The sequence below is a fragment of the Homo sapiens genome, chromosome 10, assembly GCF_000001405.40.
Source record: "Homo sapiens chromosome 10, GRCh38.p14 Primary Assembly".
In the NCBI taxonomy this organism is placed as follows: Eukaryota; Metazoa; Chordata; class Mammalia; order Primates; family Hominidae; genus Homo; species Homo sapiens.
The window spans coordinates 86,641,737-86,653,591 of record NC_000010.11 but is presented as its reverse complement, the minus strand read 5'-3'; the positions used below and the strand labels follow the sequence as shown (position 1 = coordinate 86,653,591).

At 51.4% G+C, this 11,855-nt stretch overlaps 5 annotated features.

Annotated features, from left to right (window-relative positions):
* Positions 1,228 to 2,077: an enhancer, noted in NCBI's record as "H3K4me1 hESC enhancer chr10:88411272-88412121 (GRCh37/hg19 assembly coordinates)". NCBI's record gives its function as "activates a minimal SCP1, AML or CMV promoter by ChIP-STARR-seq in naive H9 embryonic stem cells {active_cell/tissue: H9 hESC(naive)}" and the evidence as "EXISTENCE:reporter gene assay evidence [ECO:0000049][PMID:30033119]".
* Positions 2,762 to 3,447: an enhancer, noted in NCBI's record as "H3K4me1 hESC enhancer chr10:88409902-88410587 (GRCh37/hg19 assembly coordinates)". NCBI's record gives its function as "activates a minimal SCP1, AML or CMV promoter by ChIP-STARR-seq in naive H9 embryonic stem cells {active_cell/tissue: H9 hESC(naive)}" and the evidence as "EXISTENCE:reporter gene assay evidence [ECO:0000049][PMID:30033119]".
* Positions 3,448 to 4,134: an enhancer, noted in NCBI's record as "H3K4me1 hESC enhancer chr10:88409215-88409901 (GRCh37/hg19 assembly coordinates)". NCBI's record gives its function as "activates a minimal SCP1, AML or CMV promoter by ChIP-STARR-seq in naive H9 embryonic stem cells {active_cell/tissue: H9 hESC(naive)}" and the evidence as "EXISTENCE:reporter gene assay evidence [ECO:0000049][PMID:30033119]".
* Positions 7,798 to 7,967: an enhancer, noted in NCBI's record as "experimental_17897 CRE fragment used in MPRA reporter constructs". NCBI's record gives its function as "activates a minimal promoter by MPRAs in K562 erythroleukemia cells, with activity observed for both the introgressed and non-introgressed 10:88405467 variant alleles {active_cell/tissue: K562}" and the evidence as "EXISTENCE:reporter gene assay evidence [ECO:0000049][PMID:34662402]".
* Positions 10,139 to 10,378: an enhancer, noted in NCBI's record as "active region_3694". NCBI's record gives its function as "activates an Ori minimal core promoter by ATAC-STARR-seq in GM12878 lymphoblastoid cells {active_cell/tissue: GM12878}" and the evidence as "EXISTENCE:reporter gene assay evidence [ECO:0000049][PMID:35858748]".

Here is an 11,855-nt window from a genome sequence, read left to right as displayed (position 1 = left end):
CCCTTTCACAGATGGAGACACAAGGAGGATGTAGCAGTAGGGTGAGATCAGATCACGAGGCGGCTTTTGCTTGTTTTTTGATAAGAAAGTTTTATTTTTTTATTTTTATTTTTTTTGAGACAGTCTTGCTCTGTCACCCAGCCTGGAGTGCAATGGTGCAATCTCAGCTCACTGCAACTTCCGCCTCCCAGGTCCAAGCAATTCTCCTGCCTCAGCCTCCCGAGTAGCTGGGATTACAGGCACTCGCCACCACACCTGGCTAATTTTTGTATATTTAGCAGAGGCAGGAGTTCACCATGTTGGCCAGGCTAGTCTCGAACTCCTGACCTCAGGTGATCCACCCACCTCGGCTTCCCAAAGTGCCAGGATTACAGGCGTGAGCCACTGGGCCCGGCAGAAATTTTTAAAGTATAAAGATTTTTTAAAACCTTATTGGGAGAGTCCCAGGAACTCACCCAGGCCTGCAGGCCTGATCCAAGTTGACTGGATGTCAGAAGTGGAGGGGACCCCGGGCCTGCCCCTTGCCCTGTCTTAGAGGAGGCAGCAGGAGCTGGAGAGAAGGGAAGCTGAACACACGGCTTCCAGGGAGGGCTGCTCGGGCTAGGCCTGCCACAGAGGCTGCGTTTAGGGGAGCCCGACCGGGCAGCGGTCATCCTAAGTGGGGGCCATGTCCTGGCACAGTGCTGGGAGTGTTGGAGCCCTGGAGTGGACAGAGATATCACTCCTCTTCCAGAAGTTCCCCCAGTCTTTACAAACAGTTCTCCTGGAGCCCCAGGTTTGAGCAGGAGAAGTGGGAGCAGCCTCACTGGGAGCGGGAGCTGTACTTCCTGCAGCTGCCAGCCCATGGCTCAGACTGCCTTCCTCCTGAGGCTCTTCCACTTCAGGGCTTTGGCTCACAGAGGCCACCCTGGGGGCAGGGTGAGGCTGAGGGGCCGGCTTTTCTTTCTGTCCCTAGGCTCAATGCCAGCTGCTTGCGTTTTAATGTAGGGGTTTAACAATTCCTCACAGCTGGGAGCAATTCTGAGTCAACACAACGTCCCATTCAATGTGGACCCCACTCTCCAACCTGCTAATTAAGAGAGGGTGCAGGTGATGGAGCAGGCACAGGAGTCCAGGGGAGAAGTGCTTGTCAGGTGGACACATGAGGCGGGAATCCACATACCCAGGGTGCCACAGGCCTCAAAGGAGCACCTCAGGGAAAGATCAGAGGACTCGGAACCCCCAGCCTGGGGCCTTTGGAAGCCCACGTCTCACCTGACAATGTCCTTTCTCCATGGGCCGTGCACTGCAGCCGTTGCGGGTGACACTGAGATCTCCTCAGGGCCCAACCCCCTCACTCCTGTGCTTCTGTCCCACTGGGGAGGCTCCCCATGGCGCTCTTGCTCCAAACCTTTGCATCCCACACCCACCTGGCAGCTCGTCTGCCCGGAGCCTGCCATCCAATGGAGCCAGGAGGGCCGCGTGGGAAGCCTCAGCCTCCAGATGTCTCCTATGACTACTGCTGCCCAAGCTGTCCTGGCTGGAAGCTGTGGTCTGATGGGTGGGAACCCTGACCTTCCATCACTCCCCTCCGACCAGGTGGCTCCTGTCTTCCTGGGTGCCTGGCTGTGCTCACCTTCCCTCAGCACTTCTCCTCCTCCTCTGCAAGCTTGGCTCAGGGTGGGGCCCGGCCTCTTGAGACCTGGGATTGTTGATGGTCTCATGGGCCTGTGCCATCCAAGAATCTCAACGCAGGGAAAAGTGTGGAAGGGGTCCTCAGAGTCCTCCCAGTCCCAACTCTGGCTGGTGCCCACTCCCTTGGAGACTGTCCTGGGCATCTCCTCCTCCCCCGGTGCCATTCCCGGGGGCAGGCTGACCTCAGTGCTTGGTGCCGGGTTTGCCGATGGTCCCAGGGACCTCTGCACTGATAGTGGGGCTAAGGTAGCCAGCCACATCTCCCCTTCCGTGGCCCCACTTTGCTCTGGTTCCTCCCTTCCAGCCATTGCTTCCTGCTGCAGCCCTAAAGGCAGGTGGAAACACAAATTCCACATAATCCCACACTTAACCCTTTGGTGGCTTCCACAGCTCTTAAGACAGAGACAGAGCCCAAACGTGGCGAGGCGGGTGGAGGGAGGTACTACATCACCTGGTATGTGGGGATAAGAAGTGGGCTTTAGGGGGAAGCACGTACACCGAGGCTCAGCAAGAAGAGGCACGCCATTTCCTCTATGCGTGCATGGGCAAGGCTGCTGTCACTGCATGGGACTCAGTGTCCCCAGGGACCTGCCCTTGCTCCTACCCCTTTTCCATGCATGCTTCAGAGTAGCCTTGTTTGTGGGACAAGCAGCCGAGCTCAGGCGCCAGGCAGTCTGGGTGTGACTGCCAGCTGATTGGGGAGGTGTCTGAGAGCTCCAGCTGCCAGCACCTGGAGACCTTGCTGGATTAGGCTGGATTAGCTGGATTAGGCCTTGCGGGAGGAGGAGGCCTGATACCTTGGGGAGCTGAGTTCAGGTGAGTCTTCTCTTGCTGAGAGAGGAGGAGCCACTGAATCTGCCTAACTCCGTGCCTGGAGACCAGGCTGGCCTCCTTTCAGACCACCGAAGGCACACAGCTCCTCTGGTCACCCAGCCTCTGCTCACACACTGCTCCTGAAACCTTCGCCTGTCCCCTGCTCTGGGTCTCAACTCAAATACCACCTCCCCCAGACTGCCAAGGGCCCAGCTGTTCACCTCCTCCTGTCCATCCCTCGGAGCATCTATGGATAGTGATAGTGTCATTTGCAGTGATTGTCATCTGACCATGTCTGTCTCCCTCCTTGGAATGCAAACAGGTCGGATTTGTTCACCTTTGAGACCCACTGCCTAGTAGAGCACCTGACACATTGTATCAGGAAATCCAAAATCTCCCTGGTCCTTGCTTCTCAAAGTGTGGCTGGAGGACTGGCTGCTGATGTGCACCCCTCCTGCAGCTTGTTAGAAACTCAGACTTCCCAGACCTGTGACTCAGGTGTGGACGCACGAGGTGTGTCTATCCTCATGTTAAATGGGAGAGGTGATGGTGTAGATGCTTGGGAGGACTTCGGTGGTTGGTAACAGGTGGTGGAAGAGCCGATCTGAGGGGACACTGAGGCACCCCAGAGATTAGCGCCAGTGGAGCGCACTGCTGTGGCCAAGGCTGGAAGGACCACAGGAGGAAGGGGCTGCTGTGATTCCAGGGGCTGGGCCTCTCCAGCTGGGTGCCACCAAAGCAGGGCACTCATGAGGAGGCATGGCTGGCTGCTGGAGAGGTGTGCGGTGAGCAGAGCAGGGGCATGGGGCCCTCACTGCCCGCTCTGGCCTCCCATCTTCTGCAGGAGCCCCACCATGGTCAGGCCTACCCACAAGCCTGGGAAGGAAACTGGGGAGATGTGTTTCCCGCAACAGAGAGCAGAGCAGGGCAAGGTTGATGGAGCACACGACAGCTGTCACTGCAGACGTGATGTCCTTCCTTCCACCCACCCCCATCTGCCACCGTAGCCAGTAGATGGTGTGTCCCCGGCCCATGGCCTGTAGGTCAGCCCTCCCATGTAACCCACAGGGGCTCTTGGCTGGGCAGCATTTGGCGGCTCTCTGCCTGGCCAGGCTCTGGATCAGCCTGAGCCACCCTTCTGCTCAGCCTGGCCTAGGAGTCTATGGCCCATCACCTCTGCTCTGCCCCTCGTTGCTCCAGGGAGACGCAGAGGGCTGAGTGTGCACAGTAGTACGTGTCGCCCTGGCCCACACCTCCGCACTGACTGCCGCCTGCTCTTCACACCTCGCTGGCATGGCTGGAGGTGGGAAAAGCTTTCTAGCCCCTCATCCTCAGGGGAGTAGCAGGGCCACAAGAGCAGGAGGCCCGAGAGCTGCCCTGGGGCTGCAGAGAGGGTCGAGGTCCAGGCCAGGGCAGCAGGGACAGGAAGTATGCTATTTAGAAACGATTCAGTAGTGGGCCCTTGGCAGACGCATAACCATGCTCTGGGGGACTGGAATCAACCAGCTGTCCTGCCACTGCCCACAACCCCCGACGGATGCTGACTTTACTTATGGGCCTATGGGCCCCATTATTCCTGTCCCCTGTAGATATTTTCTGAAAGCCTTTGCAAGAAGAGCTGATAGAAAAGCTAGGTGCCCTGGAGGCTCCTGGCCCCTGCATTTCTGTATTTCTGGCCACAGCACTGACTGTCCAGAGAGTAGACAGGGCTCCCTGCCCTCTGGCCCAGCCCAGCCCAGCCCAGCAAGCAACACTGCTATGCCCCTCCCATGCCATGCCCATCCTGTCCACTTCTGGGGATTGGTTTCCTCATCCCGGGGCTGGAAGAGGCTATCTGGTTATTCAGAGACTCCTAGGAAACGCCCAGGAGCTGTTACCAGGGGAATATTAAATGTCTTAGCAAGCATAGTCCTGTAGGCATCTGGCCAGGAGCTCACTTGGGGCCTCCCTCCCTCCTCTGGAAGCTGGCCAACCCTTTCGGGATGGGACACTCTTCCCTATGGCTTGAGGGGAGGAGTTAAAAACACAGAAACTTGGAAAACTCTTACTTTTCTGCTGCCTTATACCATAGAACCCCAGGTGCAGCTCTGCCCTTTTACCTGCCCCTGGCCTGGGGACACCACCCCCGCCTCCTAAGTGTGGGCCTGCCCGCTGGGAGCCAGCCAAATGACCCAGTAGCCCTGCTAATGTTCTGAGGTCTTGTCAGTCCCCGTGGCCCACCCTGCTCTCCATGGCTCCTCCCTCCCCTCACTCCCACTCAGGAGTGCTCCCACTGCGTTCCCCCCTGTGCAGCCTATACTGGCCAAAGGAAACCAGCAGGGACAGAGCCACGGCTCCAAGGAGGGCTGATGATGGATAGAGTCTGCACAGCATGGAGAGGCCATTTCCTGTCCTGACGGGAGTACCTGTGCTACCACCTGATTTCTCGCTGATGGCACCCACATCTCCTGGCCTGGGGTGCTGATCCCGGAGGCTCAGGGCTGTCCCCAGTGCCCGGCCTGCCAAGTTTGCATGTATCATCTCAGCGAGTCCAGTCTGGGGGGCTCCAACGTCATACCCATCTGAGTGCCGTGCATTCATTAAACTCCTACAGCACTGAGCCACACTCCGGTTTGCCTAAGACACCATGGCCACCCAAGGCGAGCCTAATGTAGAATGGAGAGGGGTGACACAGCCATGCCCCAGAATGGCCTGTTCCTCCTTTTGCTGGAGGCTTCTTTTGAGGGGATCAGGTGAGAGAGAGGAATTAGGAAACAGAATGGCTGAGGAAAACATGAGGAAGGCTAAAAGAACAAACTTTTATGTGAAAATTTACTACTCCCGAGAGAGGCATTTGGATGTAAAAAAAAACCCCAGCCAGTGGGTGGTCCTGTATTTCACATGCTTTGGGCACACCCAGCAGAAATCGAGAGCTTGCTACTGGATTTTTAAAAAGAAATTCTTTCCTTAGCACCTTTGACATGTCCTTGTTTGCACACAGAGCCCTCTAATTTGGGGTACACAGAGAGAGGCACAGAGACCCATGGATTATATACTTTCCTGCCCTTTTGGTAACTTGTTGGAACCGCACTTTTCTTTCTCAAAATATTATAGCTGATCATAATCAAGTGTCTGAGTCATTCCCTACAAAGTGGGGCATTTGTCTGAGGGATAGAGTCACCCACTTTGATTTACGATAGCCCAAGGCAATTTCTGACCTCGCAGAGAGGAGAAGTGTAAAAGACAAATGAAGCAGGATGGAAATCTACAGGAAACATCAGAGATGTTCTTAGTGAAGACCCATTCAGGCATAGAGATGTGTCTCTGGGTCTGTTCTGTGACTGCCCCACAACCCCTCGCTGATCTCAGCAGTGCATGAGTGGCACCACAAGAGTCTGAATGAAAACCCTGCATTTGGGCCAGATGCGGTGGCTCACGCCTGTAATCCCAACACTTTGGGAGGCTGAGGTGAGTGGATTGCCTGAGGTCAGGAATTTGAGACCAGCCTTGCCAACATGGCAAAACCCTGTCTCTACTAAAAATACAAAAATTAGCCGGGCATGGTGGTGGCACCTCTAGTCCTAGCTACTTGGGAGGCTGAGGCCAGAGAATTGCTTGAACCCAGGAGGCAGAGGTTGCAGTGAGCCAAGATCAAGTCACTGCACTCCAGCCTGGGCGACAGAGTGAGACTCTGTCTCAAAAAAAAAAAAAAAAAGAAAAAAAGAAAACTCTGCATTCGAATTTGTGACTGTAGACATGTCAGCACTGCAAGCAAACTCCCCAAGCTGTAAAAACAGTGTAAATTCCATCTCCCATCAGGCCCAACACGATCAGGTCAACCTCGGTGGGCATCCCAGCCTTGCCAATATTTGCTACAGGGAACTGGGAAGTGACAAGGAACCACACAGCTCCAAGATTCAGTTTCCTCACCCGTAGAATGGAGATACTAATACCTGCCTCTCAGGGCTTCCGAGTGGCTTCATAAGAAGGCATGCAGAGTACTCAGCTTATGCCTCACCCAGAATCCAGGCTCCAATCTTACAGGGGCTGCTGAGGCAGGACAGGCAACATCCTGGTGCCCATGGGGCTTCCATGTTTGCACAGCACACCCCCCAGATGATTACCTGGGAATTAAAAAAGTTATGCCGCCTGGATTATTAATGATAGCCCACCCCCAGAGACTCCGATTTAGTTGGCCTGGGATATAGCCTAAACACTGGGATTTTTTAAAAATGCAGTGTAACACAAAGCCATAGCCAGCCTCAGCCACATACCTACATGGATCCACATGTGTTTCCCATTCCTCCGCCTCATTCGCTCCAGCTCCCCCGGCTCCTAGCTCCATCTCTGCTCTGGATGTTGTTGTTATTTTGTGGCTGGGCCAGGGAGCAAACTCTCCCCTCTTCTACGACCTGCAGGGTGGGGGCCCAAGCTGGATTCAGGCCTCTGCCAGGACCTAAGCCTCTGAAGAGTGTGGGGAAGCAGTGGTGATGAAGGATCCAGGCACCTGGTGCCGAGGGCAGACAGGCATAAGAGCTGAAGCTATGAGATAGGAGGGGCCAGGAGGCCTGGGGTCTGTGGGTAGAATTCAGGGCAGTAACCTCTAGCTGAAATGTAGGTTTTCCCTCCATTATGAACAAGGGCAAAACCCCCACAGTAGTCTTCCTGGGGCTTTGTGACCATTGGGAATCATCACTCCTTCTATATGACAGCAGAGTTGCTGCAGATAACTTGCAATATTGGTTTTGTTCATCACTACATCAAAATCACAATCCTGCGTAGACCTGCCGCCAGATTCTGTGGTTGGTTCATTAAATGAAGAAGCACATAGTTTACCTGATTACAAATTTATTGTTTAATATTTTGGTAACAACAGTTTAATGTCACTGGCTTACTTTACAATCCTATGTATTTTATCTTACGCATTAAAAGCACTCCTAGGCCCAGCGCGGAGGCTCACTCTTGTAATCCCAGCACCTTGGGAGGCCAAGGTGGGCAGATCACCTGAGGTCAGGAGTTCAAGACCAGCCTAGCCAACATGGTGAAACCCTGTCTCTACTAAAAATACAAAAATTAAGGCAGGTGTGGTGGCGCATGCTTGTAATCCCAGCTACCAGGGAGGCTGAGGCAGGAGAATTGCTGGAACCTGGGAGGCAGAGGTTGCAGTGAGCCGAGATTGCGCCATTGCCCCCAGCCTGGGCAACAGAGCAAAACTCTAGTTCAAAAAAAAAAAAAAAAAAAGAGCACTTCTGGGGTTGGGTGCAGTGGCACATGCCTGCAATTCCAGCACTTTGAGAAGCTGAGGTGAGAAGATTACTTGAGGCCAGGAGTTCGAGACCAGCCTGGGCAACATAGTGAGACCCCATCTCTACAGAAAATTATCTGGGTATAGTGGCACATGCCTGTGGTCTCAGCTACTTGGGAGGCTGAGATGGGAGGATTGCTCAAGCCTGAGAGGTTGAGGCTGCAGTGAGTCGTGATCATGCCAATGCACCAATGCAACCTAGCCTGGGTGACAGAGCAAGACCTTGTCTCAATAAAAAGATTTAAAAATATAATAAAATAAGAGCACCTCTAAAAAGGACTCTATAGGCTGCACAGGACTCCAAAGGGGTTCCTGGCACAGAAAAAGTTAAGAGCTATGAGCAATGAGATGAGGGGTGTTCAAAGCCATGATTAGGGCAGCAACGGTGGGGATAGAGTCCTCTGGCTCTCCCCAGGAACTGCCTGGGGGTTTTATGAGCTGCTCCTTCCTAGGCTCTGCCCTGCACCAAGTCCCTGGCCCCCTGCAGGCCTGGTTGTTCACTCTGCCTGGGTCCCCCAAGCCAGCCTGAGTCTGAAAGAACTACCTGGTCCTTGAGGCCTCACCTGTCCATCCAGACCCCTAAGCCCCGGCACCTGGCTGCAACTCTGGCCTTCCCATTTCCTTAGGTAAACTGCAATTCCTCAGAGCCAGAAGAGCTGACCAACACTCTGTGAGGGTGGGGACTCCTTGGGAGACCAAGGAACCCCAGAGTGTGGCAGCTGCCCCCACGGCACAGCCTGAGTGGGCAAGTGACTTTTGGGGCAGTGTTTCACTGGAGGGACAGGAGCAGTCTTTGCTGAAGGCCTGGTGGGAAGCTGCTGGGCCTTCCTAGGAGGTTGGGGCAGAGAGCACGGCATGGGAGACAGAGCCCAAGAAGCAGCTGCCAGGGTGCAGGGCGACTTCCAATGCTTGGGGCTGCCCCTACATTTGACACTGAGAGTGGAGGCCCAGAGCTGGGCCCCATTTCCAGCTCCAGAGTGCAGATGCTCTAGCCTGGTCCTGTCCTCTGCTCTCTTCATACCAAGAGGGCTGTGGTCCAGAAACTTCCCAGCAGGAGTCCCCACCAGGAGTCTCAGCCTCTTCCTGGTCATCTAAAAGCCTCCTAGAATCCTAGTTCTGGTAGCAAAAACTTCACAGCTTCTCCCCAAGGACCAGAAGCCTACGATTTCACACGAGTGTGAAGAGACATGCGCCCCCGCCAAGGACTCTGTGTCCCCAGCAGGGGACAGGGGCGAGTCACCACATGATGAGATTGATGCATGAGAACTCCTGTCAGGACAAGGGAGTTTCTGGGTTTGTTGTGGTTTTAATTTGTGATCTACTTGATGCAAGCACATTCTTTAAAAATGAAATAGCACTGAAAGGCAGTTTCTGGTCCCATCCCTCCTGCTTTCTTGTGTGAAAATAAATATAATTTAAAAGCTGTTGGAACCCAAAAAAACCCACTTCAAACCTTAAGAGAAATGTGAATGTGATCTTAGTCACATATGGTTCCAACTTCTGTTTCTCAGATTATAGATTAACTTGTTTTCTTATTTTTTTGTTCTGTACAATGACTAGAGAGAATTAAATTATATCAGGGACAAAAGCCTCCTGCCTTCTTAATTAATGACTCTTGTTATAGATTAACTTCCCCTTTGTTGTCCTACTTTGCCTAAACCAGATGACAGAAAACCCATGACTGTTACACCCATTATATTCAAAATGCTAAATGTACCCTTTCCAAAAAGGATGCATTGCCTATCATCAATCAAATTGCTGGAAGTATGTGCCAACTTCATATGAAAAATGTTGTAATCCTGCTAAAAACATCTCTGTCTCTGCATCTATAAATGAAACCCTAATTTCTCTACTTCAGAACACTGCCTCCATCTCTTCGCAGTTGATGCTCCTGAGTGGGCCATCCTCAAACTTTGTATTTGAATAAACTCTCTTTAAATTAGACTCTGATCCTTTTGATTATTTTAAGTTGACATTTTGGCAACTGCAGATAGGACCTGAAACAAGCCTCGTGCGATCCTCGTTGCTTTGCTGGCATTCGGAGATTTAGTACCAGCATGAGTGGCTTTTACTCGTCTGACCTCATCAGAGCTGGCGGGGGTCTCTGGTAAGACTTCTCTCAGGTTTCATATCTTCCTAGTTCTGGCTGAGATTCAGACTTTATTCAAGCAACCCAATTCCACACTCAACAGAGCTAGAACTGAAGCTCAACTTTTGGCTTTGAGGTAGTCACTTTATTGTTATTTCTCTAGAGATTCTGTTATTTGCAAGTTTGTAGTTTCACTTTCTTTTGAGGTTAAGATTTTGTCTGTTTTGCTTGCTAAAGTTTGCAACTTTTCTCCCATTCAAAATTTGGGGCTGGGTGCAGTGGCTCACACCTGTAATCCCAGCACTTTGGGAGGCTGAGGCGGTTGGATCACTTGAGGCCAGGAGTTGAAGACCAGCTTGGCCAACATGGTGAAACCCAATCTCTACTAAAAATACAAAGCATTAGCTGAACGTGATGGTGCATGTCTGTGGTCCCTGCTACTTGGGAGGCTGAGGTACGAGAATTGCATGAACCCAGTAGGTGGAGATTGCAGGGAGCTGACACACTGTACTCCACTGTCCAGCCTGGGTGACAGAGTGAGATTCTGTCTCAAAAAAAATTGGTTAAATAGAAAGCAGTTTCTTTTTAAAAAGAGAAAGTGAATGCTTGTGGCTTAAGCTAAATGTGCAGTTTTAAACTGACCAGGTTTTGGAGCTGGGTTAAAATTGCCATTTAGATTTTCTTTCTGAGTGACCAAAAATTCATTAAAGGCTTTGTCTGAGGATGTGATTTACTTGACCTGAGAAAGTCCTAAATAACGGCCACTGTTCCTCCCAGCTGAAAGGCACCTTAGGTAACTGAGGCCACACAGGACTGTCAGAGGTCATAGCTTCTGCTGTGTAAGGGTCCTACAGGGAAACCCCAAGGAAGAACATACAGGGAAATCTGATTAACCTGTTGGGCATACATGAAGGGTTGGTATCCCAGGGCCCTAAGCCTCCAGAAATGTCTGGGTTTCACTGAAACACATAAGAGAGTAGAAGTGACTCATGGGTGACACCTCGAGGAGTAATCCCTGTTAAGCAGAATACCAGATCCAAAACATCTTTCCCAGCTGGGCACGGTGGCTCACGCCTGTAATGCCAGCATTTTGGGATGCCGAGGGGGAAGGAGCCCAACATGAGGAGTTTGATACTAGCCTGGCCATCGTGGTGAAACCCTGCCTCTACTAAAAATACAAAAATTAGCAAGGTATAGTGGTGGGCACCTGTAATCCCAGCTACTTGGGAGGCTGAGGCAGGAGAATCATTTCAACCTGGAAGGCGGAGGTTGCAGTGAGCTGAGATAGCGCAACTGTACTCCAGCCTGGGTGACAGAGAGAGACTTCATCTCAAAATAAACATATAAATAAAATTTAAAAATTAAAAAATAAGACATCTTTCTCTTTGAGTCTTTGGTCACTTAAAAAGAAAATCCAAATTATGGTCCATCTTCCATCTAAAACTGAGTCCTCTTTAAGAAAGAATCCATCTTTAGAAACTCCAGCTGGATTTATGTACAATACTTATGGCACCACCTCCTGTCAATATTTGGAAAAATGGTCTTACTTGACCCAAGAAAATCCTAACATTTGCAATGGACAAAATGTAGTACCTTTGAAATGCCTAAACTAATTTAATTGTGTGCTCAATGAGAAAAAGTCAGCTATAAGATAAAACAAAATAATTGGGAGAGTTATTTTCAATGAGGCTTGGAAGCTTCTAAAGAGGTTATAATAAAGTTATTTCTTTACAAGAGAACAAAAAGTTGTCTTAAAAAATTCTGAATTAAAGACTGCTGAAATTTATCCTCCTCCCTCAGCTCCTCTGTCTCTTTATTCTTTATTATCCTTTATTATCTTCTCCTTCTCTTTATCCTTTAGTACCTTGCCCAGATCTACCTCCTCCTCCTTCTGCTTCTACTGTTCCAGCTCCATTTCTCAAACAGCCAGTGTCTGGTAGGGGAGAACCTACCCTAGTTTCTCAATCATGGTCAAAGGTAAAACTTAAAGACATA